At 48.1% G+C, this 27,998-nt stretch overlaps 1 protein-coding gene across 7 annotated transcripts in view, besides 11 other annotated features; it reads left to right on the forward strand.

Annotated features, from left to right (window-relative positions):
* The window catches only part of TSPAN18 (tetraspanin 18), a 206,114-nt gene that overhangs the window by 103,544 nt on the left and 74,572 nt on the right, over nucleotides 1-27,998 (forward strand). The gene's annotated exons all lie outside the window — the stretch shown is intronic.
* Nucleotides 2,202-2,371: an enhancer, noted in NCBI's record as "experimental_21436 CRE fragment used in MPRA reporter constructs". NCBI's record gives its function as "activates a minimal promoter by MPRAs in K562 erythroleukemia cells, with activity observed for both the introgressed and non-introgressed 11:44853691 or rs4755899 variant alleles {active_cell/tissue: K562}" and the evidence as "EXISTENCE:reporter gene assay evidence [ECO:0000049][PMID:34662402]".
* Nucleotide 2,287: a transcriptional cis regulatory region, noted in NCBI's record as "Neanderthal adaptively introgressed variant 11:44853691 (GRCh37/hg19 assembly coordinates) or rs4755899 in the experimental_21436 CRE". NCBI's record gives its function as "modulates activity of the experimental_21436 enhancer by MPRAs in K562 erythroleukemia cells {active_cell/tissue: K562}" and the evidence as "EXISTENCE:reporter gene assay evidence [ECO:0000049][PMID:34662402]".
* Nucleotides 6,626-6,795: an enhancer, noted in NCBI's record as "experimental_21440 CRE fragment used in MPRA reporter constructs". NCBI's record gives its function as "activates a minimal promoter by MPRAs in K562 erythroleukemia cells, with activity observed for both the introgressed and non-introgressed 11:44858115 variant alleles {active_cell/tissue: K562}" and the evidence as "EXISTENCE:reporter gene assay evidence [ECO:0000049][PMID:34662402]".
* Nucleotides 15,497-15,666: an enhancer, noted in NCBI's record as "experimental_21441 CRE fragment used in MPRA reporter constructs". NCBI's record gives its function as "activates a minimal promoter by MPRAs in K562 erythroleukemia cells, with activity observed for the non-introgressed 11:44866986 variant allele {active_cell/tissue: K562}" and the evidence as "EXISTENCE:reporter gene assay evidence [ECO:0000049][PMID:34662402]".
* Nucleotides 16,010-16,179: an enhancer, noted in NCBI's record as "experimental_21442 CRE fragment used in MPRA reporter constructs". NCBI's record gives its function as "activates a minimal promoter by MPRAs in K562 erythroleukemia cells, with activity observed for both the introgressed and non-introgressed 11:44867499 variant alleles {active_cell/tissue: K562}" and the evidence as "EXISTENCE:reporter gene assay evidence [ECO:0000049][PMID:34662402]".
* Nucleotides 17,987-18,582: an enhancer, noted in NCBI's record as "H3K27ac-H3K4me1 hESC enhancer chr11:44869391-44869986 (GRCh37/hg19 assembly coordinates)". NCBI's record gives its function as "activates a minimal SCP1, AML or CMV promoter by ChIP-STARR-seq in naive H9 embryonic stem cells {active_cell/tissue: H9 hESC(naive)}" and the evidence as "EXISTENCE:reporter gene assay evidence [ECO:0000049][PMID:30033119]".
* Nucleotides 19,177-19,772: an enhancer, noted in NCBI's record as "H3K4me1 hESC enhancer chr11:44870581-44871176 (GRCh37/hg19 assembly coordinates)". NCBI's record gives its function as "activates a minimal SCP1, AML or CMV promoter by ChIP-STARR-seq in naive H9 embryonic stem cells {active_cell/tissue: H9 hESC(naive)}" and the evidence as "EXISTENCE:reporter gene assay evidence [ECO:0000049][PMID:30033119]".
* Nucleotides 19,773-20,366: an enhancer, noted in NCBI's record as "H3K4me1 hESC enhancer chr11:44871177-44871770 (GRCh37/hg19 assembly coordinates)". NCBI's record gives its function as "activates a minimal SCP1, AML or CMV promoter by ChIP-STARR-seq in naive H9 embryonic stem cells {active_cell/tissue: H9 hESC(naive)}" and the evidence as "EXISTENCE:reporter gene assay evidence [ECO:0000049][PMID:30033119]".
* Nucleotides 23,021-23,190: an enhancer, noted in NCBI's record as "experimental_21450 CRE fragment used in MPRA reporter constructs". NCBI's record gives its function as "activates a minimal promoter by MPRAs in K562 erythroleukemia cells, with activity observed for the non-introgressed 11:44874510 or rs17784515 variant allele {active_cell/tissue: K562}" and the evidence as "EXISTENCE:reporter gene assay evidence [ECO:0000049][PMID:34662402]".
* Nucleotide 23,106: a transcriptional cis regulatory region, noted in NCBI's record as "Neanderthal adaptively introgressed variant 11:44874510 (GRCh37/hg19 assembly coordinates) or rs17784515 in the experimental_21450 CRE". NCBI's record gives its function as "modulates activity of the experimental_21450 enhancer by MPRAs in K562 erythroleukemia cells {active_cell/tissue: K562}" and the evidence as "EXISTENCE:reporter gene assay evidence [ECO:0000049][PMID:34662402]".
* Nucleotides 27,218-27,996: an enhancer, noted in NCBI's record as "H3K27ac-H3K4me1 hESC enhancer chr11:44878622-44879400 (GRCh37/hg19 assembly coordinates)". NCBI's record gives its function as "activates a minimal SCP1, AML or CMV promoter by ChIP-STARR-seq in naive H9 embryonic stem cells {active_cell/tissue: H9 hESC(naive)}" and the evidence as "EXISTENCE:reporter gene assay evidence [ECO:0000049][PMID:30033119]".

Here is a 27,998-nt window from a genome sequence, read left to right on the forward strand (position 1 = left end):
ATTTCAGTGATGTTAATAGGTATACAGTGGTATCATACTGTATGAAAAAGATTATTTCATAGCCCAGACATTTTGAAACATGCAATATGAACCAACTGTGTCTCTCCCAGCATTCTGTGGTTCCCACTGCACTGAGAATAAAATTCCCGCTCCTTCTGTGGTCTGAAGGGCCTGCATGATCCACCCCTGCCCTCCTCACAAGGTTACGTCACTTCCTTCCCCTAGCCCACTCCACACCATCCACATAGGCCTCATTTCAGTTCCTAGAACCATGCAATCTCTTTCTTAACTCAGGGGCACACAGGGTGTTCCCTCTGCTTGGAGCTCTTGTCCAGCCCTCTCCACCTGGCTGGCCCCTCTTATTCTTCAGTGTTCAATGCAGATACATCTCCTTGGAGAAACCTTCCTCTTCTCTCTCGTCCCACTCTATCTATTGCCTTCATGGCACATATTTCAAACTGGACTTACAGATTTATTTGCTGGATTATAGTTTGCAAGTGCCATAGCAGGGAGAAGCCATGCCAGTTTGCTCACCATCACACCCCAGTGTCTTGCGTGGTACTTGGCATAAAGGTGTGGCTTGATATTTATTTGCTGACTGGAGAATGAATGGCTGGGCCAGTTTAGTTGGGCAGACAAGGGAAGGGGAAATATTTATTGAGCATTGGTTAGGCACCAGCCACAGTCTGGCCACATTCACGTTTGTTATTTTCTTTGATCCTATGAGGGAAGATCATCTGTACTTTACAGGTGATGAAAGTGAAGCAAAGGGGGCTTAGGGCAGGGATCATTCAAATTCCCACAGGGCCAGGCACCTAACACAAATAAGTAAGCAAATTCAGTGAAAAACAAACAAGCAAATCAGCAGCTCAGGCTCAGTCATTTAAACTATGGCTTTAGGATCTGGAAGATACCAGAGAGTGGTGGGGACTGCAGTAAACTTCAGCACACACCCTGTCTAAATGGAGACTTACTTTTCAGCTAGCTCCAGTATTTTCAGGTCTTCTGAAGTCTTTAAAAAGAAGCTGGAAACTCAGCTTTTTAAAGAGATGTTTTCCAATTGTTGAAAATTACCAAGCTAATTCACACTTAAAAAAAAATGCCACTGTGCCGGCCGGGCACAATGGCAGGTGCCTGTAATCCCAGCTACTCGGGAGGCTGAGGCAGGAGAATTGCTTGAACCTAGGAGGTGGAAGTTGCAGTGAGCTGAGATCACACCACTGCATTCCAGCCTGGGCGACACAGCAAGACTCTGTCTCAAAAACAACAACAACAACAAAACAAACAAACAAAACAAAATGCCACTATGCCAGTACTGTGTTATGCCAATGGAGGTAAGATCCACTTTCTTCAACTCTGGTTTAGGGTCCAGGGAACAGAAAAGCAGGAGAGGTCCTCTGAGGACCCCCATCTGTTCCACCTTTTCAGACCTTTTGAAAGGCTGTCTCCTACCTCAGGAACCGATGAAGAGGTTATGTATGCTCGGAGCTACAGAGTCAGACAAAAGATGTGGCCCCAAAAAAGATGTCAAGATGTTGCAGTGCACTAGAGCTGACAAGTGTGGTTACATTTCTTTGTCCCTGGCTTTCAAGGTCCCTCACCTAGGCCCTCACAAGCCCCAGGGGAACCCAGAACTTGGCTTTGGAAAAAGCATGTCCAAGGATCCAAATTTGGGCATCACTGTGCTTGTTTACACGGCCCCTTCACCACTCCTAGGTCCTACTGGAGAAGCTTGGGTTATCAGAGCATTTGGATCATTCATTTACTCGCTCACTCACTCATTCATTTATTCACAAATCTAGGTTGAGTGTCCAGTATGCACTGGCATTCTACATGCTGAGGCAACAGGGAACAAGGTCTCTGCCTTCATGGAGCTTGGCTTCTAGTGGGAGTAACAAGTCAAGAGATGAATACATAACATGACGTCATGCAGTGGTTAGGCCGAGAAGGCAGGGTGTGGCTGGTGGGGTGGGAAGCTGTCTGGGACAGCTGGTCCAGGAAGCCTTCTTGGAGGAGGGGATATTTGAGCAGAGACCTGAATGAAATGGAGGGAGCTGAGCTAAGATCCAGGATAAGAGGTTCTAAGCAGAGGGTGAACCAGCACCATGGCCCCTGAAATGCAGCAGCTCAGAGTTCAAGGAACAGTAAAAAGGTCATTGATCAAAGAGGGTGAGAGGGAAGGAGAGTGAAGGAGACCATCACTCCCCTAACTGGAAAATAGCGGCCACCTGTCCAAGCACTTGACTCATGTCATAGTGACCTTCAGTTCCCTACCTATGACCCAGGCGTCATTATCCTCACTTCATCAGAGGAGGCGACATCGCTCGACCCCAGTGGCTGCCCGTGCTAGGTGGGCAGTGTGTGGGATGTGAAGCCAGGCAGCCCACCTCCGAGCCACCTCCTTTCCATCAGTATGCATTCTGCATCTTACCAAGGCCTATGTTTGTGGCATCCAGCTCCATGCCTAGCCCAGTCCATGCTATTAATGAATAAATGATGCTTGTTGGTGCTCCACTTGATGGAGAGTAAACCTCATTTTCATCCTCAACTCCCCCTCTTTTTCCTTCATTCTCCTTTGCTTCTCTCATCCCTCCCCAGCCCAGTTTCTGTTTCCAATTCTCTACCCTAGACCCCCAAATTCCACCTTCCTCAGCTCCCAAAGAGCTTTTCCAGCTCTGGGCTGCTTCTTCCCATGCTGACAGCTGGAACGGAAGCCCGGAACAAGCCAGTCATATTCCTCCCAAACTGCCACTGCCCCGGAGGGATCTATTTCTCTGCGGCACCCTCATTGTCCCGGGGACCCTGGGGAACAGCTGTCCTAGTCGGGCTTCCGAAGCTGACCTTCTTCCTTGTTCCTCCTTCTTCGATCCTTGCTGCACCTGCTCCTGCCTAGCTTTGCCACAGCCTGCAGCCTTCTCCTTGTTCAGACGACAGCCTCACCACCCACTGACTTCACTTATCCAGGTTCACTTATCCAGGGAAACCTCGGTGGCTCTCCACTGCTGGTCTCCTTCTTGAGTGGCTTGGTCTGAATATCTAGGATATCTTTGGGACTTTACTTGCCAACAATGCTCCCTGGATGTCTATCAAATAAGGCTACACTCCTTCTCTGTGCCTTTGCCCACACGCTGTCCTCTCCTGGGAATGCCCTTCTTCCCTTCTCTGCCTGCTTAAAGCTTCCATGTTTGAAGACACCTCCTCCAGGAGCCCTCCCTTCACTGCTCCATAGAAACACTGTCTCCTCACTCTGGGCTCCAAAGCCTGTGGTCTGCCCCTTATCATTTATCTCGGTGCCTGGCTGTCCTGGACACAATGGACAGGGCAGGATCCTGGATGGACACGTGAACCTGGGTTCAAATGCTAGCTTTCCTTCCTATCGGCTTAGTAACCTTGGGCAAGTAGCTTAACCTCTCTGAGCCCCATTCCTTCATCTGTAAAGAGGAATAATAAAATTGCCTTCTTGGGTTGGTTTAATGATCAGAGACAAAGCCCCTACCTCTGAGCAAATGGTGCAGCAAATGGTGACTCTTAGGTAATTATTTCTCATTTGACTCTAGTTGCCTTGTTTGCAAGAGCTTTACCTTCCACCTCCTCCAGGAAGCCCTCCCTGGATTTCCAGGCTTCATTCCTCCTTCCTGTTATCACCAAATGACTTCATTAATAAGCACTTTTCCCTGCTTAGAATCGTTATTTGAATGATTTTTATCTTCTGTGCTCGAAAAGGCTTATAAGGATGAATGACATAATTTTATCTCAAAAAGTCCATCTGCGGTGGCTAAATGTCACTATGGATCACTGTTAACCCAGAATGATGGCTGGGCAGGGGAGAGGGACCCAGGAGCAGGCAGGTCACCCCACCGAGCAGAGAAGATGCCGGCAACTGCAGCCTGTATGTAGACACCAGGTCTGATAGACACCCCACCTGGGCCTTGATTCTTCTTTCTTAAAAGTCACCTGGTGGGTCTCTGGGATCTGGGACTTGCTGGGGATAAAGACACCCTCCCCATCTAATCACTTGCAATTAGATGCTCACCCCCACCCAGTAGAGGAATCTGCTTTGTCCATAACCTGCCTGCCCAAAGAGAGCCTGCTGGGCAGGTAAATAACACTTGGGTGTGGCTTCCCTTTGAAAAGGAATTTATAATGGCGGCTTCCTAGATAATTAATTACTGCTGCTCACTGCCCAGCTACAAGCAGTCCCAGCGATCAGCTTTTGTTTCCAAGGCTTAAACCCAGGCAGGAACCACGAGATTGCTGAGGCCAGGAGCAAAGAAGGGGCTTTTTAGGATTCTTTTTTTTTCCTTTCAAATGGACCCTCAGGGAGATGGAGGCGAGGTGGGGGGCTTGGGACACAGAACAGTGAGTTATTAGCTTCTTTCCAGCCTGCACCTCGGGCACCTCTGGCAAAAAGACCTGCCAGTTCCTTTCGGCCCCTGGAGCCTCTCTCCTCTGCTTAGAAAACAAATCGCTGCCTAAGCTGGGGCTTTTTGTTGGCTCCAAAAGGAGAGAGCCACACGGGTTCTTTCTAGGGAGGAAGAAACAGCCCCAGGGAGAGGACTGAGTGGTTGGGTTTCAGAGCACACTGTGTGTGCCTGGGTTGTGAAGTTGGCAAATGATGAATCTATTTTTTTTTCCACTTTGATGAAACCCAAGGCCTCACAAGGAGTTTTCACCATTGTCCTTTGCTAAATGCATTTCCCCAGCACCCTTTCTTCCATTTTCTCACTTCTCTAGGGAGTTGGGGAAGTCATAGAGAGAGGGGGTTAGGCAGGCAGGCTCAGCACCAGGCTGATGTGGGTTCAGATCCTGCTCAGCTGTAACCTGGTCATGTTGCTAAACTTCTCTGACCTCGATGTCTTTATCTGAAAAATGAGAATAATCACAACACTCACCTCAAAGCACTGTTGTTAAATGGGATAATATTTGCATGGTTGTCAGATGCCCTAGAAGTAGACACCAAGGCAAGCATTTGTGAACAGAAGATATATTAAGGATGATTTCCCAGAAGAAGCCTAAGGGGGTTGAGGGAACAGGACAGGGAAGGGGAGGAAAGCAAGGGGGCGAGGTTAGGCCCTGCAGAGGGCTGCTCTTGCTGATCCCACAGGGAAACCTGTAAGTTTCTGTTAACTTGAGAGGAGAGAACTGAGCTTTCATCCTCCACACCCTCAGACATTGGCTAAGGGCCACCCTGAGGGTGGGGGAGGGATGGAATCTTCCGGGCACCTCTGGCTGCCTGCACACGGGAGCAGGGGGCTCCGGCAGCTCAAAGGTCATCCTCCCATGAGAATGGCTTGGGCAGGCCTCTAAGGAAGAAACACACAGAAAAGGGGGCCGTGGGGAGGGTCCCCGACAGCACTGCTGGAGTATGGGCAGCCCCCAGCCTAGCATACAGCGAGTGTTCAGTACATGGTCCTGGGTCAGTCACTGGACAATTCATGCAAATGAGAATCACAGAAAGGTTAGGACATGAACCTGCAGAGGCACAGCATATCCATATAGGGACTGGAGTTAGTAAGTCCCTTCTCAGACAGGCTTAGATCTCCTAATGTCATACATAGTTCTTTGGAATTTCAAGCTGAGATCTTCTTCGTATTTCCTGAGAATCCTTCTCCTGCCTTCCCTGAGAGTTTGGACTGCTCCCAGGGAAGGAGGAAGGCTTGGGTGAGGCATTACTGGACCAGACCTGATTTTGCTGAGACAGCGATCTGCAACCCAGCTTGGATCAAGCCCCTCCCCAACTTGTCTCTTCTCACAAACACATTGTATTTTACTGTGGGGGGCGGGGGGATAGGGGGCGGTGGTAGCAAAATGTTACAGGCATACCTGGTTTTATTGCACTTCAGTTTATTGTGTTTTTGTTTATTTTTGCAAATGGAAGCTTTGTGGCAACTGTGCATAGAGCAAATCTATCAGCACCATTTTTCCAACAGCATGTGCTCACTTCCTATCTCTGTTGCATTTTGGTAATGTTCAAACTTTTCATTATTAATATGTCTGTTGTTGTGATCTGTGATCACTGATCTTTGATGTTACTGTTGTAATTGTTTGGGGACATCACAAGCTGCACCCTTATATGATGGTGGATTTAATTAATAAATGCTATATGTGTTCTGACTGCTGAACCCACCGGCCATTCCCCTGTCTCTCTCCCTCTCCTTGGGCCTTCCTATTTCCAACTACATAACAATATTGAAATGAGGCCAATGAATAACCCTACAAGGGCCTCTAAGTGCTCAAGTGAAAGGAGGAGTCGCATATCTCTCATTTTAAATCAAAAGCTAGAAATGATTAAACTTCATAAGGAAGGCATGCTGAAAAATGAGACAGGCCGAAAGCTAGGCTTCTTGCACTAGTTAACTAAGTTGTGAATGCCAAGTTCTTGAAGGAAATTAAAAGTGCTACTCCAGTGAACACACAGATGCTGATATGGAGAAAGTTTTAGTTGTCTGGATAGAAGATTAAACCAGCCACAAAATTCTCGTAAGCCAAAGCCTAATCCAGAGAAAGGTCCTAACTCTCTTCAATTCTGTGAAGGCTGAGAGAGGTGAGGAAGCTGCAGAAGAAAATTGGGAGCTAGCCAAGGCTGGTTCATGAGGTTTAAGGAAAGAAGCTGTTTCCATAACATAAAAGCCCACGGTGAGGCAGGAAGTGCTGATGGAGAAGCTGCAGCAAGTTATCTAGAAGATCTAGCTAAGATCATGGATGCAGGTGGCGGCGATACAAAACAACAGATTTTCAATGTAGATGAAACAGCCTTCTACTGGAAGAAGATACCATCTAGGACTTTCATAGCTAGAGAGAAGTCAATGTCTGGCTTCAAGGCTTCAAAGGACAGGCTGACACTCTTGTTAGGGGCTAATGCAATTGGTAACATTAAGCTGATGCCAGTGCTCATTTACCATTTTGAAAATTCTAAGACCCTTAAGAATGAGGCTAAATCCACTCTGCTTGTGCTCTGTAAATGGAAGAACAAAGCCTGGATGACAGCACGTCTGTTTACAGCATGGTTTACTGAATATTTTAAGCCCATTATTGAGACCCACTGCTCAGAAAAAAAGATTCCTTTTCAAAATATGACTACTCATTGACAGTGCACGTGGTCATCCAAGAGCTCTGATGGAGATGTACAGGGAGATTCATGTTGTTTTCCTGCCTGCTAAGACACATCTATTCTGCAGCCCATGGATCAAGAAGTCATTTCAACTTTCAAGTCTTCTTATTTAAGAAATAGATTTTGTAAGGCTATAGCAGCCATAGATAGTGATTCCTCTGATGGATCTGGGCAAAGTATATTGAAAACTTACTGGAAAGGATTCACCATTCCAGATGCCATTAAAAACATTCATGATTCTTGAGAGGAAGTCAAAACAGCAACATGAACAGGAGTTTAGAAGAAGTTGATTCTCAACCCTTATGAGTGACTTCGGGGAGTTCACTTCAGTGGAGGAAGTAACTGCAGATGTGGTAGAAATGGCAAGGGACCTAGAATTAGAAATGGAGGCTGAGGCTGTGACTGAATTGCCGCAATCTCATGATAAAGCCTTAGTGGATGAGGAGTTACTTCCTATGGATAAGCAAAGAGATGGAAACTACTCCTGGTAAAGTTGCTTTAAACATTGTTAAAATAACAACAGAGGATTTAGAATATTACATGAACTTAGTTGCTAAAGCAGTGGCAGGGTTTCAAAGGATGGACTCCAATTTTGAAAGGAGTTTTACTGTGGGTGAAATCCTATCAAACAGCATGATATGCTACAGAGAAATCTTTTGTGAAAACCAGAGTTGATCGGTGTGGCAAACTTCACCATCTTATTTTCAGAAATTGCCACAGCCATTATGACCTTCAGCAACCACTGCCCTGATCAGTCAGCAGCCATCAACATGGAGGCAAGACCATCCACCAGCAAAAACATTACTACTTGCTGAAGGCTCAGACGATATTTAGCATTTTTTAGCAATGAAGTGTTTTTAAGTTAAGGTATTTACATTTTTTTTAAACAATGCTATTGCACACTTAATAACAGTATGGTGTACACATAACTTTTACTTTCAGTGGGAAACCACAAAATTTGTGTGACTCATTTTATTGTGATATTTGCTTTATTGGGATGAGCTAGAACTGAACCTGAATATCACTGAGATATGCTTGTATCCACCCAAATATTGATGAGATTTGGGTGGTGGGGTACAAGAATAATGCCCCCACATCCCTTACAAAGATGTCCATGTCCCAATCGCTGGAACCTGTAAATACATTTTCTTACATGGCATATTAGTCTATTCTCAAGCTGCTAATAAAGATATGCCCGAGACTGGGTAATTTATAGAGGAAAGAAGTTTAATTGACTCACAGTTCCACATGGCTGGGGAGGCCTCACAATCATGGCAGAAGGCAAAGGGAAAGCAAGGCATGTCTTACATGGCAGCAGGCAAGGGAGCTTGTGTAAAGGAACTCCCCTTTATAAATCAGATCTCATGAGACTTAATCACTATAATGAGAACAGCACGGGAAAGACCCACCCCCATGATTCAATTATCTCCCACCCGGTTCCTCCCATGACACATGGGAATTATGGGAGCTAAAATTCAAGATGAGATTTGGGTGGGGACACAGCCAAACCATATCACATGGCTAAAGGAACTTTGTAGATGTGATTGAGTTAATGTTTTTGAGGTGGGGAGGTTGTCCTGGAATGTCAAGGTGCAGCCAATCAAATCACACGGGTCCTTACAAGCGGCAAAGGGAAGTTTGACTTCAGAAGAGGAGTGTGGGAGTGACGCCACCTGTGAAAGACTGGACTGGCCGCTGCTGGCTCTGAAGAAGGAAAGACCCATGAGTCAAGGAAGATGGCAACCTCTAGAATCTAGAAAAGGCAAGGAAAAGTTTCTCCCCTGGAGCCTCCAAAAGGAACGTGACTCTGCAGACACTGTGTACCATTTAAAAGGACTTCTAGAATAATTAACAAAATAATACATTTGTGTTGTTTTTAGCCACTAACTTTGTGGTCATTCATTGCAGCAGCCAAAGGAGACCCTTTTAGGTGGTGTGATCATTTAATTTTATGTGTCAACTTGACTACCTAGAGTACCCAGCTATTTAATCAAATCCTCATCTAGGTATTGCTAGAGAGGTCTTTTGTCAATGTGGCTAACATCTACAGTCAGTTGACTTTAGGTATGTAGGAGGGCCTTATCCAATCCGTTGGAAGGCAGGAAGAGCAAAAATGGGGGTTTCCCACAAAACAAGGAATTCTGTCTCAAGCCTATAGCATCAGCTCCTGCCTGAGTTTCCAACCCGACTGTTTACCCTACAGTTTTCAGACTGTACATCTCTCTGAACATTTTGGTGGACATGCAAATACGTTTCTGTTCATTTCACCTTGATGCAGTGGAAGGGGTCAGGGGCTTGGACTCTGGGCCCCCCGGCTCCCCAGTCTGTCCTCTGTCTGCTCAGGCTGTCTCCCTTGCCTCCTGCAAAAAGAGAAACCATTTCTCAGACACTCCTGGGATTAGGCCAAATAAATGAGCATGTGTCTGTCTGTTTTTCCCTAATGAGCTTCTCCCTCGGGCTCTTTTCCCTTTTCCTTGGATCTCTGCATTCATCACTTTCCTTCCCACAAGGAAAGAAAGTATATCCTCCTGTCTTCCTCTGTCCCACCTGCAACAGCTTCTCGGGATGCAAACTCCTCTGCCATTCTTTCCCTCTTATCTAGCCCACCTCTGTCTCTCCTGCCCTCCCCCTGTCTGCCCCAGGGGTTCCTCTACCAACTGCTCCAACACCACCACCACCTGCCTTCTCTCTGCCCCTCTAATCTTGGCTAATTGCTTCCTGGAGTTAAGACAGGCACCATCACTGAACTGAGCATGCAAGCGGGGAGGGAGGTAAGTGTTGTGGGGCAGAAGCTCAGGGCCCATTTAGGGACCAGGGGGCAACCAGAGGACAGAGAAGGCCAGTGGCTGTAGGCCTAGGGAGGCAGAGGTGAGCGTGACTTGTTGATTCCCCGGTGCTCCCCAGGATGGCTCTCCTGGGGCCCAGTCCTCCCAAGCACATGGCTTGTTCTGCAGAAATAATCCTAGATGCCACACCCAGGGTGGGTGGCTGTCCTCAGTCCCTCACAGGATTGTGATGGGACCCATGGCCAAGGACCTCCCCAGAACTCATGGCTACGTCAGGAGTGAGCATCATCCTAAGTCAACCTGGGCTTTGCTCTGCGCAAAACCAATGTGCTGCCTCGGCCAAGTCCTCCACAGAGAGAAAACTCCTGAGGCCAGGGAACCTTGAGCAATGTTGTTTGAGGGCTCAGTTTGTGAATCTATGAAAAGGGGCTGATCATGCATGACCAACTGCTGAGCACTTAAGGAGACTGTTTGGCGAGGGCATGGCACAGTGCCTGGCCTGTTTTCACCAGCCAGGGAGTGGGGGAGGCAGCCTTGAGGGTCTTTGCCCATTTCCGCTGGCCTCTCTCCCTCATTGGGGAGAGTTGATATAATAACTAGATGTCATAAGACATCAAAAGAGGAAGCAACATTTTCACAGCACTTTGTAAAGGATAAAGCTGTTTTGGCAGGTGATCTTGCTTAATACTCCTAATAGCCCTAAGGTGAGGTAATTATTCTTCTCATTTTGGAAATGAGAAAACTGAAGTTCAAAGCAGTGAAGTAGCATCAGTGTCTGAGGGTGCCCAGCTCACAGCTGGGATGGAGCAGGATTCCAGCCCCAGGCTGCCTCCCAGAGAGGTGAGGCACAGATTCCCATGGGCAAAGCAAGCCCCAGACTCTGTTTCTGTTTCAACAGAAACGCAGCGGCATGCTGCTTGATGGTGCGCAAAACACACCACGTTCATTATCCTGCTTGATCATGACACAGCTTGCATTTCAGGCAGGAAACCTTAACCTCACTTTGCAGACAGAAAAGCACCATCTAGAGAGATTGAATCACATCCCTGTTTTCCATAGCCAGCAGGTGGCACGGGGCCATCATCCTCCAAGCTCAGGGCTCCTGGTTACTGCTATATGACCATGGGTACAACTGTACTATTCTTAGCCTCAGTTTCCTCCTTGTCTCCAAGGGCGCAGTGAGAATTAAATGACACAAGGATGCAAAGAGCCTGGTATCATCACAGTACCTGCTGGGACCTCAATACTTGAGCATTTTCATCCCTTGGGGAACTCTTGCATCAGCACCCCCCAGGGCAGCAGGAGCCCTGGAGTATTGCCTGGCAGGATTAAAGATACACAAAGATTTATTGAGTGTCTACTGCGTATGTGCCGGAGGGTTTGGTGGTGACAGACACAGTGGCTGCCTACATGGAGCTTAATACTCCAGCATAGGAGGTGGACAGAAAACAAGGTAGCCAGGAATTCATCAAATGACTGCATGTGGCCAGGCGTGGTGGCTCATGCCTTTAATCCCAGCACTTTGGGAAGCTGAGGCAGGTGGATCACTTGAGGTCAGGAGTTCAAGACCAGCCTGGCCAACATGGTGAAACCCCCATCTCTATTAAAAATACAAAATTAGCCGAGAGTGGTGATGGGTGCCTGTAATCCAAGCTATCGGGAGGCTGAGGCGGGAAAATCACTTGAACCCAGGAGACAGAGACTGCAGTGAGCTGAGATTGCACCACTGCACTCCAGCCTGGGCAAGAGCACGAAATTCCATCTAAAAAAAAAAAAAGACTGCATGTTGTAATAAGTAGTATGAAGGTGGGAAAATATTTTTTTAAAATAAGAAAGGCTGCCTTACTTACAGTAGTCAGGAAAGGCCTTTATGGAGGGGACCCTTGGGCTGGTGCCCTAAAGCAGGTGAAGCTGACCACGCAGAGCTAGGAAGAGGAGGGTTCCATCTGAGAGGGAAGTATGTGCAAAGGCCCTGGGACAGGAATAGATTTGGGTTGTTCATGGGTAGAGAGAAGAGCAATATGGCTGGGGCCCAGTGAGAGATGGGGCAGTGGTTCCAGCAGAGGTTGGCAGTGACCCCACCATCAGGTCCAAATGATAAGTTTAGTCTTTTCTTCTAAGTCTAATATGAAGTCATAGATAAGGCTTTAAACAGGAAGGGACATGCTATGATTTAAATTTTAAGAGGTGAGCCGTCTGTAAGCTCATCAACAGTTATGATTGGAAGGATCTCTAAATCTGATCTAGCCCACCTTTTCATTGTGCAGCGGGGAAACTGAGCCCCAGAGGTGGGAAACAGGTTGTTAGCGTCACATAACACATCAGGGCAAAAGCAGCCCTTGAACCCAGATCCTCAGACTCCAGCTCTAGTGGTCCTTCCTTTGAGAGGCTGGCAGAAGCCCCAAGGTGGGCACAGCCTCAGTCTCCTTCAAGGATGAGGAACCATGCCAGCAAGCAGGCCTCCTCAGGTCCAACCGTGGCTGCCCCTTGCCCATGACTTTTGCTTCATGGCCACTATTAGGTCCCTTCATGCCAAAGAAACACACATGGACCAAGTGGGATTTTTAAGCCACACGCTCACTGTAGTAACTGCAATTCTGCCTGAACGTGTTTGACCCCATGTAAAGATACATCTGCTAGCAATTCTGGGAATGCATTTAACATTTTTGCTCTGTGATGCACAGAGCATTTTCTATGCATGACCGTGTATTTCTCTTTTGGAGCAGAGTCCAGGCAGCATGACCCACTTTGTGCAGATGGGATGATGAGGCCAAGAATGGCTGATTGACTTCCATGAAGTCAGGGAGGGATAATAAGCGAGAGAGGGCCTCCTAGGCAAGCCAGGGGCAGTGAAAGGGAAGAGAAAGAAGAAACTGAGCATGAAGTCCTTGAATTCCAGCATTAGAACCTGAGAGTCATTCTCCAGGCTCTGAGAATTATAAAATGATAGAGCTGGTAGGCCTTAGCAATGGCATGATTCAATCCATCATCCTAAAATTCCATTTAGGAATCACATATAAACAGTAAAATGTATAAATCTTCAGTGTGCAGCTCAAGAATTTTTATGCACCAAGTTACCATCATCCAGATTAAAGTATAGAATGTTCCCATCCCTCCAGCCCAGAAGGCTCTCCTATGCCCCATCCCAATCAGTGCTTCCCTTTTCCCTCCCCCTTCCCCCACCCTTCCCCCAACCAGGTGACTACCATTCTGGCTTCTATCACCTTCAAGCAATTGTGCCTATTCTTGAACTTTATATAAATGGAATCATACAGTGTGCATTCCTCTGACTCTGCCTTCTTTAGCTCAACATGATTTTATGATCCTTCCATATATATCTAATATAGCATATAGCAGTAGTTTGTTCTTCTGTATTTCTATGTAATATTCCATTGTAGGAATATATGGGGGGACCTGCCCCAATAATCACATAGGTTCTTTCCTATTTTCCTAAGCATCGGCTGGCTTGAGAAATAAAGGGACAGAGTACAAAAGAGGGAAATTTTAAAGCTGGGCATCCGGGGGAGACATCACATATTGGTGGGATCCGTGATGCCCCACAAGCCACAAAAACCAGCAAGTTTTTATTAGGGAGTTTCAAAAGGGAAGGGAGTATACAAATAGGTGTGGGTCACAGACATCAAGTATTTAACAGGGTAATAGAATATCACAAGGCAAGTGGAGGCAGGGCGAGATCACAAGACCACAGGAATGAGGCGAAATTAAAATTGCTAATGAAGTTTCGGGCACCATTGTCATTGATACCATCTTATCAGAAGACAGGGTTTTGAGATCAACCGGTCTGACCAAAATTTATTAGGCAGGAATTCCCTCTTCCTAATAAGCCTGGGAGCTCTATGGGAGACTGGAGTTTATTTCGCCTCTGCAATCTCCACCATAAGAGACAGGTACACGCCGGGGGGGCCAGTTCAGAGACCTACCCCTAGGTGCGCATTCTCTTTCTCAGGGACGTTCCCCATGCTGAGAAAAAGAATTCAGCGATATTTCTCCCATTTGCTTTTGAAAGAAGAGAAATATGGCTCTGTTCTGCCCAGCTCACCAGCAGTCAGAGTTTAAGGTTATCTCTCTTATTCCCTGAACAATTGCTGTTATCCTGTTCTTTTTTCAGGGTGCCCACGTTTCATATTGCTCAAACACACATGCTGTAGAATTTATGTAGTTAACGCAATTATTACAGGGTCCTGAGACGTTATACATCCTTCTCAGCTGACAGGATTAAGAGATTAAAGCAAAGACAGGCATAGGAAATCACAAGGGTATTGATTGGGGAAGTGATAAGTGTCCATGAAATCTTTACAATTTATGTTTAGAGATTGCAGTAAAGACAGGCATAAGAAATTACAAAAGTATTAATTTGGGGAACTAATAAATGTCCATAAAATCTTCATAATCCACATTCTTCTGTCATGGCTTCAGCCGGTCCCTCTGTTTGGGGTCCCTGACTCCCCGCAACAGGAATATATGACAACTTATCATTTTTTCTGTGGATGGACATTGGATCGTTTCCTTTTTTTTTTGGTGCTTATGATTAAAGATGCAACTAATAATCTAGTCCATGTCTTTTAGTGGGTCTAGGCAGGCATTTCTCTTGGGTGTATAACTGGGAGTTGAAATGCTGTGTCTTGTGTTTAGCTTTAATAGATGCTGTCAAATAGAGTGGGCATGTCATAGGACAGTCCTGCTAGCAGTGTGGAACAGTTCTAGTTGCCCTACCTCCTCATCCACACTTGGCATCATCTGCCCAGTTTTAGCTAACTGGTGGGTCTGTAGTGATACCTCATTGTGCCTTTTAATTTGCATTTCCCTGGTAGTAAGATGCTGAGCACCTTTCTATATGCTTATCAGCTATTTGGATTGCTTCTTTTGGAAAGTGCCTAAGTCTTTGGCACAATTTTAAACTGGGTTGTTTTCTCTTTTTTTCTTATGGATTTGTAGGAGTTCTTTATATATTTCGGATATAAGTCTTTTCTTGTAGATAAGTGTTGCAAATACTTTTCCCAGTCTGTGTTTTGCTTTCTTACTTTCTTATGGTGCCCAGGAATCATTTGAGAAGAAAGAAAATGAATGTTTATTGAGAACTTCATTTGCACCAGGCCTGGTCCATCTACCTCACCTTGCCTGGTGCTCATCACCACTCATTGAGGCAGGAGTCATCATCACCATTGCAGATTCAAAGGAGGCTCCAAAGGGGTATCAAAAGGATTGGAATGTGGTGTTTGGAATTATCCTCAATGCCAATACTTTAGATGTATGTAATTCTTTTAGTTTATGAAGTGCTTCCCTGATGACTGTCTTATTCCATCATTAGTTTAAGCCAGTGAGGTAGGCAGGCAACAGTTATTAGAGAGGTAATGTCCCATAGACTTTTACTGAAGACTCACCCAGAGCAGGGGGACACAGTGGAATTTAGTCCTGCATTTGGGCATTCAAAGTCGAATGAGTAAGACATACAAGTCAACATTCAATATGGGGTGAAATCATAGAGGCTTATTCATGATTTGCCCCTCTGAGCCTCAGTGTCCTCATCTGTAAGATGGATTTAATGAGACCTACAACTTATAGAGCTGTTGCATCGATGAAAGGTGATACTGCGTGCAAAGTGCTTAGCACAGTATCTGGCACATGAGTACCTCACTGAGTTTTGACATGGTGTGTATATACCAGGCTTGTTGATGAGGGCCCTGCAGGGAATACACCAGAAGCACTCCCTGCCCTCACGGAGCTTGTAGAGATGAAGAAAACACAATGGGAGCACAGCACAATAGTGGCCACTTTGCCATGGGATAGATGGGAGCCTTCACATAGGAGGCAACATGTGAACTGGGTCTTGAAGGATGAATAGGAGTTCATCAGGTGGGCAAAGAGAGGAATGACATTCCAGACCAAGAGAACTGCATGGACAGAAGCCTGAAGCTGGGACTTATCCAAGGCTACCTGGCCTAGAAATGGGTGAGCCTGTTGCCTGATCCCAGATCCCAGACCTGTGTTCTGTCTGCCCTCTGTGCCGTCTCCTTGACACTCTCCAGGGCACACAGTTGACATGGAAGTGGGTGGGTAGGCACCACCTGTGCTATTTCCACCTGGTAGGGTGAGCCATCGCCAATGCCAGACCTACGGCATTTCCCAAGGCAGCAGGGAAAAATGGACTTCCAGTGGAGAGCAAAGCATCAGCTTGGGGACCTTATGACTCTCCCAGACTCCTGCTTCCCCTCCTGGGCCACTGTTATTGCATCTGTAAGATGGGGAGAATAAAAATGACAATAATGGCCATGCTGATGGAACCTTTCTTTACTGTGTGCCAGGCACTGTGCCGAGTACTTTGCAGGTGGCATCTCTTTTCTTCTATGCAACAGCCCTATGAGCGGTGGGTCTCATTATTCCCATCTTATAGGTGAGGACATTGAGGCTCAGAGGGGTAAAATGACTTGTCCAGCATTTCACAGAGCCAGGAAGTGGCAGAATCCGAACCAGACCAGCTTTGTGTGACTCTAGCATTCCGGCTTGTAGCCAAGAGATCTTCCTGCTCACACTCCATTCCCACCGCCTCAACATACACCTCTGATGTTTAATGAATATCTGTTTAATGAACGTGGCTGTACCTTCTTGCGGAGTGTTGGGCGCAGGCCTGTGCAGTGATGGGGGAGGGCGCTTGGCAGGGGCCTGCCTCCCCTGAGGCCAGAGCTTCTGATTCCCCTGACCTGTGAAACCTGGTCATGGGGACACCTCAGGGATCAGAACACTCGACAAACGTCAAGTCTAAGGAGGCCCGAATATTTAACAGAAACAGTCTGCTCTGGGCTGGGCTCTTCCAAGAGGCTGTCTGTGTGTGTGTGTTTGTGTGTGTGTCTATGTGTCTATGTCTGTGTGCACCTGTGCTGGGGCCAACCCTAGCTGAGAGGAAGTGGAGTTGCATTTATTATAACATAAACTGTGAACTAAGATAGGTTTCCTGCCCAGGGGAAATACAGCCTCTCCAGGTAGGAAGGTGCCCCTTTGTCAGGGAAGTTCTTCTCCACCTTCTACTTTGCAGCCATTTGAGGAATCCTGCTGAACACAGGACTTGTGCCTGGGAGTGGCAGGTCCCCGCTCTTCAGGAATGAACCCAGCCTATTAAAAACCATCATCTATTGAATGCCTACTATATGCCATGCACAGAGCGGAGAACTCCAGGGGCATTCATAGTGTTTAACTCTCGGAAGGGCCCTGTGCCTGTGGTATTCCCTCAGGCTGGTGGGAAGATTCGCGAAGCACTAACTTCAGCAGGAAGCAGAGGAGCCGCTTGCTGTGGGAGAGGGAGAGACGCAGGGCTGTGTGGCTCCAAGCCAAAGAGAACTTCCAGGAAATCCAGGAAGGCTTCAGGGATGGAGTGGCTTTTAGCCAAGGCTCTAGAAGGATGGGAAGGATTTTGACAACAGAAATGGGAAGGAAGGGCTTTCCTGGTGGGGGCAGCAAGCAGAGGCAAAGGCCTGGAGGTGGACAAGCACAGGACAGTGGCCAAGGGTACAGGCCCTGGGCTCAGAAAGCCACAAGTGTGAACCTGGCTCCCTCACTTATGAGCTCATTGACCTCCTGTGAGTTACATCACCTCTTCTTTAAGAAAATTGAGGCAAAATTTACATAACATAAAATTAGCCATCTTAAAGTGTGCAATTCACTTTGCATAATGTTTGGGAGGTTCATCCACATTGTAGCACTTATCAGAACTTCATTACTTTTCATGGCTGAATACTATTCCATTTCATGGATATACCACATTCATCTGCTTATCCATTCATCTGTTGATGGGCCTTTTGGATACTATAAATAATGCTGCTATAAACATTTGTGTACCAGTATTTGTTTGACTCCCTGACTTCAGTCCTCTTGAGTGTAGACTTGGGAATGGTTGCTGGGTTGTATGGTACCTCCAGGTTGAACTTTTTGAGAACAGAGTATCACTTTGAACTTCTACACCTGCAGAATGGAGATAATAACAATAGCTGTCTCATAATGAAGGGAGGATGGGAAGGGGTTTGAAGATTAAATGAAGTGCCCAGGATAGTGAGGGCTCAAAGTAACTTTTGTTGCTTTTTTTTTTTTCCCAATGGAGTTTCACTGTGTTGCCCAGGCTGGAGTGCAATGGCGTGATCTCAGCTCACTGCAACCTCTGCCTCCTGGGTTCAAGCAATTTTCCTGCCTCAGCCTCCCAAGTAGCTCGGACTACAGGTACATGCCACTGTGGCTGGCTAATTTTTAGTATTTTTAGTAGAGATAGGGGTTTCACCATGTTGGCCAGGCTAGTCTTTAACTCCTGACCTCAGGTCATTTGCCCATCTCAGCTTCCCAAAGTGCTGGGATTACAGAGATGAGCCACTGCACCCAGCCTCAAAGTACCTTTTGAAGAGGCTGTGTTAGGGAAGGCTGACAGGTTGTGGGAAAGGAGGATGAGGGGCAGGGGTCTCCTGTGCCTGGCTGACCTTGCCCCTGCCCTGATCCATTTGGCTCTTCGAGGCGTTCAGTCCTTTGCGCACCAAAGATGGGGCAAAGTGAGCAGATGGCTGGTACCCTAGGAACCAGGCCCCTTCCTGCTCTTGGAGCCAGGGAGGCTGGCTCTGCTGGCTCCACTGAGCTGCCTTCCCCCAAGGAGTGCGCCCTTAGCGACCACTGATGCTGCATTTGCTGTTTGCTGTCTCTCTACTTCTTTCCCTCTCTTCAGAGCTGTTCAGGCTTGGCAAGCAGCAGGGGCTCAGAAACCAAATTAACAGGTAAAATTCCCATTCTCTGCCTGTTACTCGCCTGGCTGAGCTGCAAAGTCTGCAACATAACAGGAATTGGGAGTGAGGAGGGGGCGGGGGAAGGGAGCCAGTGTCAACAGGACTCAATTGAGAGAAAGAGAGAGCACCAGACTCATGATGTGGGAAGAGGCCAGCGGCACCCAGGGAAGCAATCATTGGGGTACCCCCATTCCCCCTCTTTCTTCGGAGCTGCCTCCTGGAGTCTGTGGTTCTCTTGACGCCACATGGCCCATGAGTGGCACAAGGTGACAAAGGAAGACAGCAGTGAGCTTTGCCTAGGGGAGGTCTCTAACCGTGGGGCTCCCCCCACCCCCCTGGCCCTGTCTCTTCAGCTGTACTCAGGTCCCTTTGGTGATCAGGAGGCAGGTGCTGGGGCCCAGCAGTCAGGCAGAACTGAGTTCAAGTCCAAGTGCAGCCATGTAGGCGTTGCAAGTGACCTTGGGCAAATTCTCTCTCTGAGCCTCCATTTCTTCATCTTTAAAATGGGAGAACACATCTCTTAGCTGGGTTGTTGGTTTTGAGATCAGGAGGGAAAGTGCATTGTGCAGCACCTGCTTGTGGTAAGCTCTTACATTAGAGGCTACGGGTGGCAGCAGGGGGCAGGGGGGCAGTGGTGACAGTCAAAGTGATCTTTGTTGATTCCTGTCTCAGGTTTGACTCCTGTTGGGCGTTGAGTCCCGTGCCAGGAGGGACTGTGTCTGTCTCCTTTGTGAGCTCCCTGTGTTTTAGGTGGGGGTCCCTAAAAGCAGGACCTGAGTGAGGATGGTTATCCAGGTGAACTAGTGAAGGAGGATTCTCAGGAGAGCTCTGCAAACCAGCAAGGGAAGCAGAAGGCAGAAGAAGTAGCTAAGCAAGGGTGAGGTTTAAGAGCAGGCTAGCCTCAGCCTGGTCTCTGGGGCATGAATGGCCTCTCAGACATTGCCCCCAACAGAGGCAAGGGGGCTGGACTGTTATAGCCCCATGTCAGCCTGTCAGTGGCTACGGGCTAGGCCTGGGGGTGCAGATGGGGGTGTGGCCTCCCAGGGATCTCTGAGCAAGGTGGCTTCACAGCCAACAGCAGTTCCCCTGGAGAAGGTTGCAGCCCGTGGCACTGCTGCAGTTGGGATGGGTGTCCCGTCCAGGAAAGGGGACCAGGGCCCAGCACCCAAAGCACCTGCACACCCTGAAAGCCCTCAGTCTAGGATGATGAGGAAAGCACAGGCCATGGCACCTGGCAGACTTTGGTGCGATGCCCCTTCTGCCACTTCACAGAATCAGTGACCTCCCTGGGTCTCAGTTTAAAGACCCCTCCCACATAGGGCCCACAGGGTTTGCTTGAGGACACATCAGATGCCACAGCTCATTGGCCAAGCACACAGTAGGCCATGAGCATCAGTTGGGTGGGGGGCATCCGACTTGTTGCTTTCCCCATAAATAGGGAGACCGTCCCAGGATGGGGTCTCTCCTGACTGGCCTGGCCCAAGCAAGTGCCTTCCCTTAAGGGTGAGAGATGGACTACGTGACCCCTAATAACCCCTGTCCCCAGGACCAACAGAGAAGAAGGCCATTGTTCTCGGCTCCCTTCCTCCAGAAATGAGAAACACAGCTGAAGCCGCTCCTGCTCCCCAGGGCCCGCCAAGTCCTGGAATTTCACCAGGGGTGCTTGTCCCCGACATGGCTGATTTATTCCTATTGTTATTCCTACATATCGAGTGATATGTAGATACATTCTGCTTAGAAAAAAGGACACATTTCAGGTGGGGTTAGAACCCCTCCTGCCACCATTTGCCAAGAGAACCGATGACAATTCCGTGTCCTTGTGTGGTTGGGGTGTGGTCAGGAAAGTTCTCCTTTAGGGTGAGGCTGCCAGGGTTTGGGAGGGACTCGCATGATCCCAGTGAGGACAAGGGTGAAGGCCAGGCACTTCCCAAGGTCCCTGCTGGCCGGAGGATGGCACAGAGGGGTGCATAAGCTGCCTGGCTTGGGTTTTTCCAGAAAAACCCTTCAATGTGGATGGAATGATCATTGTAATAATAATAATAGTTTCCACTTACTGAGCCTTACTCTGCCCCAGATAATAGCAATGGGCCTTCTCCTTGCATCTTCTCATTGAACTCTGCACATGAGACATATCTCCATCTTACAGATGAGAAGGCAGAGGTTCAGGTTCACATAAGGTATCTAAGGTCACATAGTAAGTGATGAGACCAGGGTTCAAATTCAGCCCCACTTATCCAGGAAGTGGGGTGCAGGAGACCCTGACGCTTGTCCCAGTCGGTGCCAGCTGGCCTTATCCCAGGTACAGGTCATTTCACTCCCCTGGCTCAGGCTCCCTAGATTCCTTCTCACCTCACCTTTACCCATCTGTGGGCACTTAGCCCTCTGCCTTCCACTCCAGGGTTAAAGATGGTGGAATACCTCTGTCTCCTTACAGAAAGGAGAATGTAGAAGCCCAGAGAGGGCACTTGATCTGCTCCAGGACACACAGCAACACCATCCCAGGGCTGTGGCTAGAACAACGGTTTCCTCCCTCTTGGTCAGCGTTATTAACCTGTTGACCTTTCTGCTTTAATCCAACCCCAGACTTGGCCATGCTGCACGTGTGTGTGGGGATGTGAGTGCGTGGAGAGAAGAGGGAAGCTCCTCTCCTTGGTCACGTTCATCACACACAGCCTGAGCAGTGGGCCAGCGGGGAATCTCTGGGGACTGGCCGGCTCTGAGTGGAAGCTGCTTCCGGCGTCACCTGCCCCTTCCTACAGCTCCCTGGATGTCACACTTCCCACTTCCTAGCGGGGCTAGCCCGGCATCCCCTGACCACCCAGAGGTTGCCCTCTAAGGCCTGTGTACTTTCTTTGTGGTCTGGCCTCTGGCTGAACAGGGGGTTTTATACAAATCCGTGGAGACAGAAATAGATCAATGCTCCCTGGAAATGTCTCCATCAGCTTCTGGAGAGTGGACTTCAGAGTTCCAAAGATCAAGGTTTGAACATCAGACAAGGGGGAAAAACAAAACCCAGGACCTAGAGTGGTCCCTGTTGCCCCTGCCATGAAGTTCCTCTGGGTCTCTGTTAGCCCAGGTACTCTTGTCACCTCCCCCCCCCAACGGCTGGGTCCCTGTCTACCTCCCTCCTCTCTCTTCTCATACATCTGCCAAAGCACAGCCCGCCTGCTGCTTTCTACACCTGCCGTGCAAATGGAGGCCCTGCGCTGTTGCCTTGGCTGTGTCCTCTGCTTAGAGCACCTTTCTTCCTCATCTCCAACACCCATTGCAGCTAAGCCACCCATCCAGGTGCTACTTTCTCCATCTTCAACAGCGCTGTTATCCATTCATTCAGTGCCCAGGTATGACATGCCATTCCAGACCCTGGGAATACAACAGTGGTTCAGAACACTCCCCAGCCTCTGTCTTTTCAGCTATTTGGGAACACATCGCTAACTCAGCCTCACTGCAGAGACATTGCCAGAATTTCTGTGCCCTCCCCCAATGCCTGACATAGTGAGTTATACAGTAGGCACTTAATGAGTGTCTGCTGGCTGAATGAATGAATGATGAATATCACTTACTGCCTTCTACTGTAATGTCTCTGCAGGGATTTCACCACCCATTGGTCGAGTACTGTATGCCATGTTCAGCTCTAGGCACCAAGTTTCTGTGTTCCCAGGGTTTATTCTTCTTGTTTATAACAACAACAAAATAGCTAACATTGGCCCTTCTTTTGTGCCAGGCCCTGATTAAAGAGGCCTTGGTGAAGAGGCAATGGCAATGTTACATGTGCAATGTTACACGTAGTAACAACACTATCAGTAGGAACTCTGATTATCCCCATTTTACAAATAAGAATTGAGGCCCAGAGAAGTTAAGGCATTTTCCCCAAGTCACACAGCTGGTCAGAAGTAGAGACAGGACTCCAACACCAGCACTCTGACTCCAGAACTCAGCCTCTTATGTTTATTGAGTGACTGAATGAATGACTCATGTTGCTACTTGATATGTTGGCTTCTGAGTTAATTCACACTCAGGAGTGGCCTCAGGGGCCTTCTTTGTGCAAACATGTACATACCATGCATACATGCACATGTGTGTGCCCCCCTTGGCTCTCTCTCCAGTGTGTGCCACCTGTGCTGGAGTCTATTGTCCTGTCCCTGATTCTTGCCTCTCAAGTGGACCATCCACTGGCCCTGCATCTGAGGGTCCTTATATAGTCTCTTTGCTCAGCCAGACGTGGGGGTTACTATGCCCAAAAGGATCAATTGTTCCTAAATGCAGGGAGGATGTTTGTCAGGGGAAGGGGAAAGGAACCAAGATGGTCTGCAAATGAACTGTGACAGATAAACCTCACCTCCCAGGAGACTCTTGGGAAATATGCAAGCTTATAAAAATGCTCCTGGCCATTCCAACTTGGAAGGCACAGACGCATCTAATATCTACCAAAACGTCCATTCATGTGATCAATTGCTCACTGCTTCATCAAAAGCTCAAGTGTTCGTGCTATACTAACGCCCTAAGAAATGAAGGAGGGACTTGGGCATTGGTAGTCTTCCAGGGCCTAAAACAGCAGGTGGAGAAGTTAGACCTTGGTGAAGAGGCAATGGTGAGCTATAGAAGGTTTTTGAGCAGGAGAGGGACGTGGTCCAAGCTTCATTCCTGAAGATCTGTCTTCCTGCCTGGTGGAGGATGGAATGGAGGGGCAGCAGAGAGACTGTGGAGGTTATAGCTGGGGACTGGGTGAGAGGGGATGAAAGCTTGGGTTAGGGACGTAGAGTCCATGGAGTGGGTGGGGAGAAGGGAGGGGCCTCATTGAGGAGATGTTTCCAGGTAGATGGGACTGAGTTGTTTTGGGAAGGGAGAGAGAGTGGAATTCGAAGGCCCATAAGTCTGGGAGACTGAATGACTGGAAGCATTCCTGGAGGGGCCATTTCTGGGACAATAATAACTGTAATTGCTATATAGGCCTTCCTCTGTGTCAGGTACTGTGCTTTATGGCTTTTGCTGTATTAAATACTCACAAGAATCCCCTCAGGTGATAACTGCCATCGTCTCCGTCTTACACTTGGGGAAACTGAGGCACAGTTACCTTGACAGAGATTACCCAGCCAATAACTGGTAGAGCCAGGATTCCACTCCAGGCAGCTGCCTGCAGAGCTTCTGCTGGTAACCCCCGCCCCATGCACCTCTCCATCCACAGGCCTGCAGGAGCCTGTCTTTATTTCTGGAGTGGACATGCATTTCCAAGAGGAAGCACTGAGAGGAGAGGACCAGGGCTTCACTTGGAAACTGACCGGAGTGCAGAAGCAGCACCTCGGGGAGGAGGCCGCAGCCCTCTGGGCCTCCCGGTTCTGTGTGGTGGGGACATCAGCCCAGAAGATTAATGAGAGGGCAGGGGAGGGAGGAAAGGAAGGAAAGGAAGGAAGAAAAATTGCTGCCCATTATACCTGTCCTTTGGCAAGGCCGGGTAATTAGCAAACCCTCGGCAATAAAATATTTCGTTTTGGTGTAATTGCAAAGTAATTATGTGGTATGGGTTGTGTATTAATCGTATTGATTAATTACACTCAGGTAGTAATTAAACATCTGCTTGATAATCGTGTGCAGCCTGAGGCTGAACATTTATACACATACACACATGCCTGTGCCACATGCAGAGCTCCTTGGTCTCTGCTCATTGGGGCAGGGGGTGGGGGGGGGGGTTTGTGTGCGTGTGATGTGGGTGTGTTTGACAGAGCCTGGCTGAGTTAGAGACCTCTCCCTCCCCCACCATACAATGAGCACTTTGTTCCCCAGCCTCACCTGGAACACCGGGAGGAACTGACCTAGGACTGGGGCTGTGCCACCCTGCAGTCCCTCTCAGAACAGAACATGAGGCCCAGGTGTCCCCTGTCTGGCAGGGCTGCCAGGCCAAGCCAGGTTGGCACGGGGCTCAAGTGCTCCATACGTGGCAATGTGCTGTCATGTCTTAGAACTCACTGCAAACTTTGCCACCAGTCCCCTCCTGCACCCTCTTAGACTGTGTTCGGCTTTGAGTGTCCTTTCTTGGGCAGATTCCTTTCCCCAGCAGCTGGGAGAAAGTTCTTACTTATTGTAGGAACCACTTGGGCTGAGGCCCCGGTACCAGCACAGCACACCCATTAGGACTGGATTTAATAACCTGATCCTGGACACTGTGGGGACCAAAGCAGGATGCTGACCTGTGTGCAGGAGCCCTGTTTCTCACCTGGATCCTACCGTTGCTGTGTGATCTTGAGCAAGTCACTCCCCTTCTCTGTCTCTCTGCTTCCTGGTCTATAAAACAAAGAAAAACTGAGCTTGGAGGCCTCCAAGGGCCTTTCCAGTGCTGCTGTACTCAGATTCTAATTTGGTTTGTACTAATTAGGAATCGGAGACAATTTAAATTCAATACATATGATACTTAGTGAGTAAACAATTGGAAATAATTCCTTCCTTTATGACTTCCCAACGACTCACTCATGAGCAATGAGAACCCAGCTAAAATCAATAGCTTTTATTTTTCAGACAGAGAAATTGCAGATTCCTTGAACTGCTGGGCATTGCAATTCATTGTTGTATTTTAAAATTTTATGTTTATGTTTATGGACTGCCATTAGATAATATGGATTCATCCTGAAGGTTTTTTTTTTCATTAACTTAACTCATTTTACTTATTAGTTCACATTTATAGCGTGGGTTTAATAAGCACACTGTGCAAAAGTCATAAAATACCCTTTTTCTTTAACAATATTTTAAAATCAAGACTCTTTTCTGAGTCATCTCAGGTTTATTTGCTCATAACTTGCTTCTCCTGTGATTTGAGGCCTAGCACAGCCAACTCTAGCCTGTTATTTGACCTTGAGCTTCAGTGTCTTTATTTGTAATAGGGGAAAGGTATCACTAGTTAATAAAAGTAATAAATTTTAAAAAGCAAGCATTCGACAATCACTATATTCAAAGTGGTTCTGATATATAAGGTGGTTGAATCTCACATTTCTGAAATGGCTTTATTTTTTTTTCCCACTTTATAGGGGAGGGAACTGAGGCCCAGAGAGGTTAAATGACTTGCCTGAGGCCACACAGTTGGTGACAGTGGCAGAGCTGGGATGCAAACACAAGTCTGTATGAGTCAAGCTGACACCTCAAATTAACCCTCACAGTATCTAAATCAGCCAACAGTTTCCCTCCCACATCTGTCTTCCTACCCTCAGCCTGTCAGACTCAGTATCCCCCCACACCACCCACCCACCTTCCCCTGACATCTCCTTATCCCCATCCACCCCACCCCCCACCATGCCCTGCCCATCCTCCTTCCATCCTCTCATTTTCTGTTTCCATTGCCTGGGCTTCTTGCTGCTTTTATTTATTTATTTTAATTTTTTGTTGTTGTTGAGACAGAGTCTCATTCTGTCACCCAGGCTGGAGTGCAGTGGTGTGATCTCGGCTCACTGCAACCTCCGTCTCCCAGGTTCAAGTGATTCTTCTGCCTCAGCCTCCCGAGTAGCTGGGACTACCAGTTGTGTACCACCACGCCTGGCTAATTTTTTGTATTTTTAGTAGAGATGGGGTTTCACCATGTTAGCCAGGATGGTCTTGATCTCCTAACCTCATGATCTACCCGCCTCAGCCTCCTAAACTACTGGGATTACAGGCATGAGCCACCGTGCCCAGCCTTCTTGCTGCTTTTAATCTCCTGGAAGCACATTTCTGCCCTCTGATCTTCAGTGGCTCCCCATTGCCTGTGGATAAATTTCATCATCCTTGGTCTGGCATTCAAGGACCTTAACCATACACCCCTTGCCTTCCGTTTCTGTCTCACTTCCCACTCTGCCCCAACAGGCGGGCTTGGCTCATGGTCTTGGCTCATGGTCTTGAATACCCGCCCACATGTAGGTACCCTGTGCCTTTGTTTGCCCTGGTCTCTCTGCCTATAGTGCCTTCCTCATCTTCATACATTCCAATCTTCCCCTTCCTCCAGGAAGCCTTCCCTGGGGCCTCTCACTCCTCTGAATTCATAATGATATGAGGAACCCCTCCTTAGCCACCTGGAACTACAGAGCCATAGGCATCGTCTTCTGTTGCCCATAATAATGAACAGCACCTTTGAAGGTGTAATCTGTGCCTCTCTCATCCTTGGTGCCCCTGGAATCCCAGGTATATAGCAAGTGTTCAATTAATGCTTTCCAAATGAGTGAATGTTCATGTTGCTCATGGTCTCCAGGAAACAGAACTCCCTGTCTTCTCTGTTGAATTCAAGACCAGCCCCACGCAAATTTCGGGAAATACTTGTCCAAGTTCTACCTACTTTCAACAGCTCTTCCTCCCTCCCTCCCTCCCTACACACTTCCCTCTGTCTTCCTAGAATTGTCACATTTCTTCTTGATCAGTGACTCAAACAAAACTGTTTTCCTCTCTTCTTCCATAAAACTTACCTGTCCTGGGTGCCATTTACTTGGTTTACTGCTGCGTAAATGGCCTTCTGGTTTCTGGCAAATTAATTCCAGCTGTGATGTTCATCGTGGATAATGGTGAAGAAAACGAGATACCCAGGGGCTGCACAACACTCTGTTTTTGAGCCTGAGGATTTTGTAGATGAGGAAACTGAGGCCCAGAGGTGGGGAAAGAGGGACTTAGGTAAAGGAATCTGCTGAATTCTCAGTCAAGTCTCCCTGGGGAACTCTCTGCTGTTTCCTGGGTTATCTTGATCACTGGGATTAGAACTACCACTCTGTTGGTGGTCACTGCACTTTACAGTTTGCATGAACTTGACCTACGACAGGCATCTCAGCTGCTCTGTGAGCTTTCACCAAGGCTCAGAGAGGTGGGTTGCCTGTGTCAACCACAGAGCCAGTGTCTAGCAGTGGAGCCAGGGGTAGAATGCAAGTCGGGCTGTGCCACAGCTGTGCTCTCCCCGCCTCCCCCGTGGATGCCAATGCTCACTGGCTTCCCTACCTGCTGGCAGCAGCCTTGTGTTTACACCAGACTTCATCTACAGGATGTATTCCCCTGGTTGGAGCAGGTAGCTAGAGAGTGAAGGAGACAGAACCAGGGAAAATGCCAGGCCAGGCCTCCACGAGAGGGATCTGGCCTCAACGAGTGTGGGATCAGAAGACAGGTGACGTGGGCCAGGCCTGGCTCACAGCCCTCAGAGCTGGGCTTCCTGAGCTGCTGTGGGATGACCAGGGCCTTGTGACTGTCCACTCCCAGCCCCATCCACCACTCAGCCGTATCCTCCCCAACTGGCACTTCTGGGCCTGGACTTGGGAAAGGAGCTTTATCTGAGGATGACACACACGTGCATTTACAACGACACATATTCACACACTGAATCCCTCCCCCCGA

This window comes from Homo sapiens, chromosome 11, assembly GCF_000001405.40.
Source record: "Homo sapiens chromosome 11, GRCh38.p14 Primary Assembly".
NCBI classification, from domain to species: domain Eukaryota; kingdom Metazoa; phylum Chordata; class Mammalia; order Primates; family Hominidae; genus Homo; species Homo sapiens.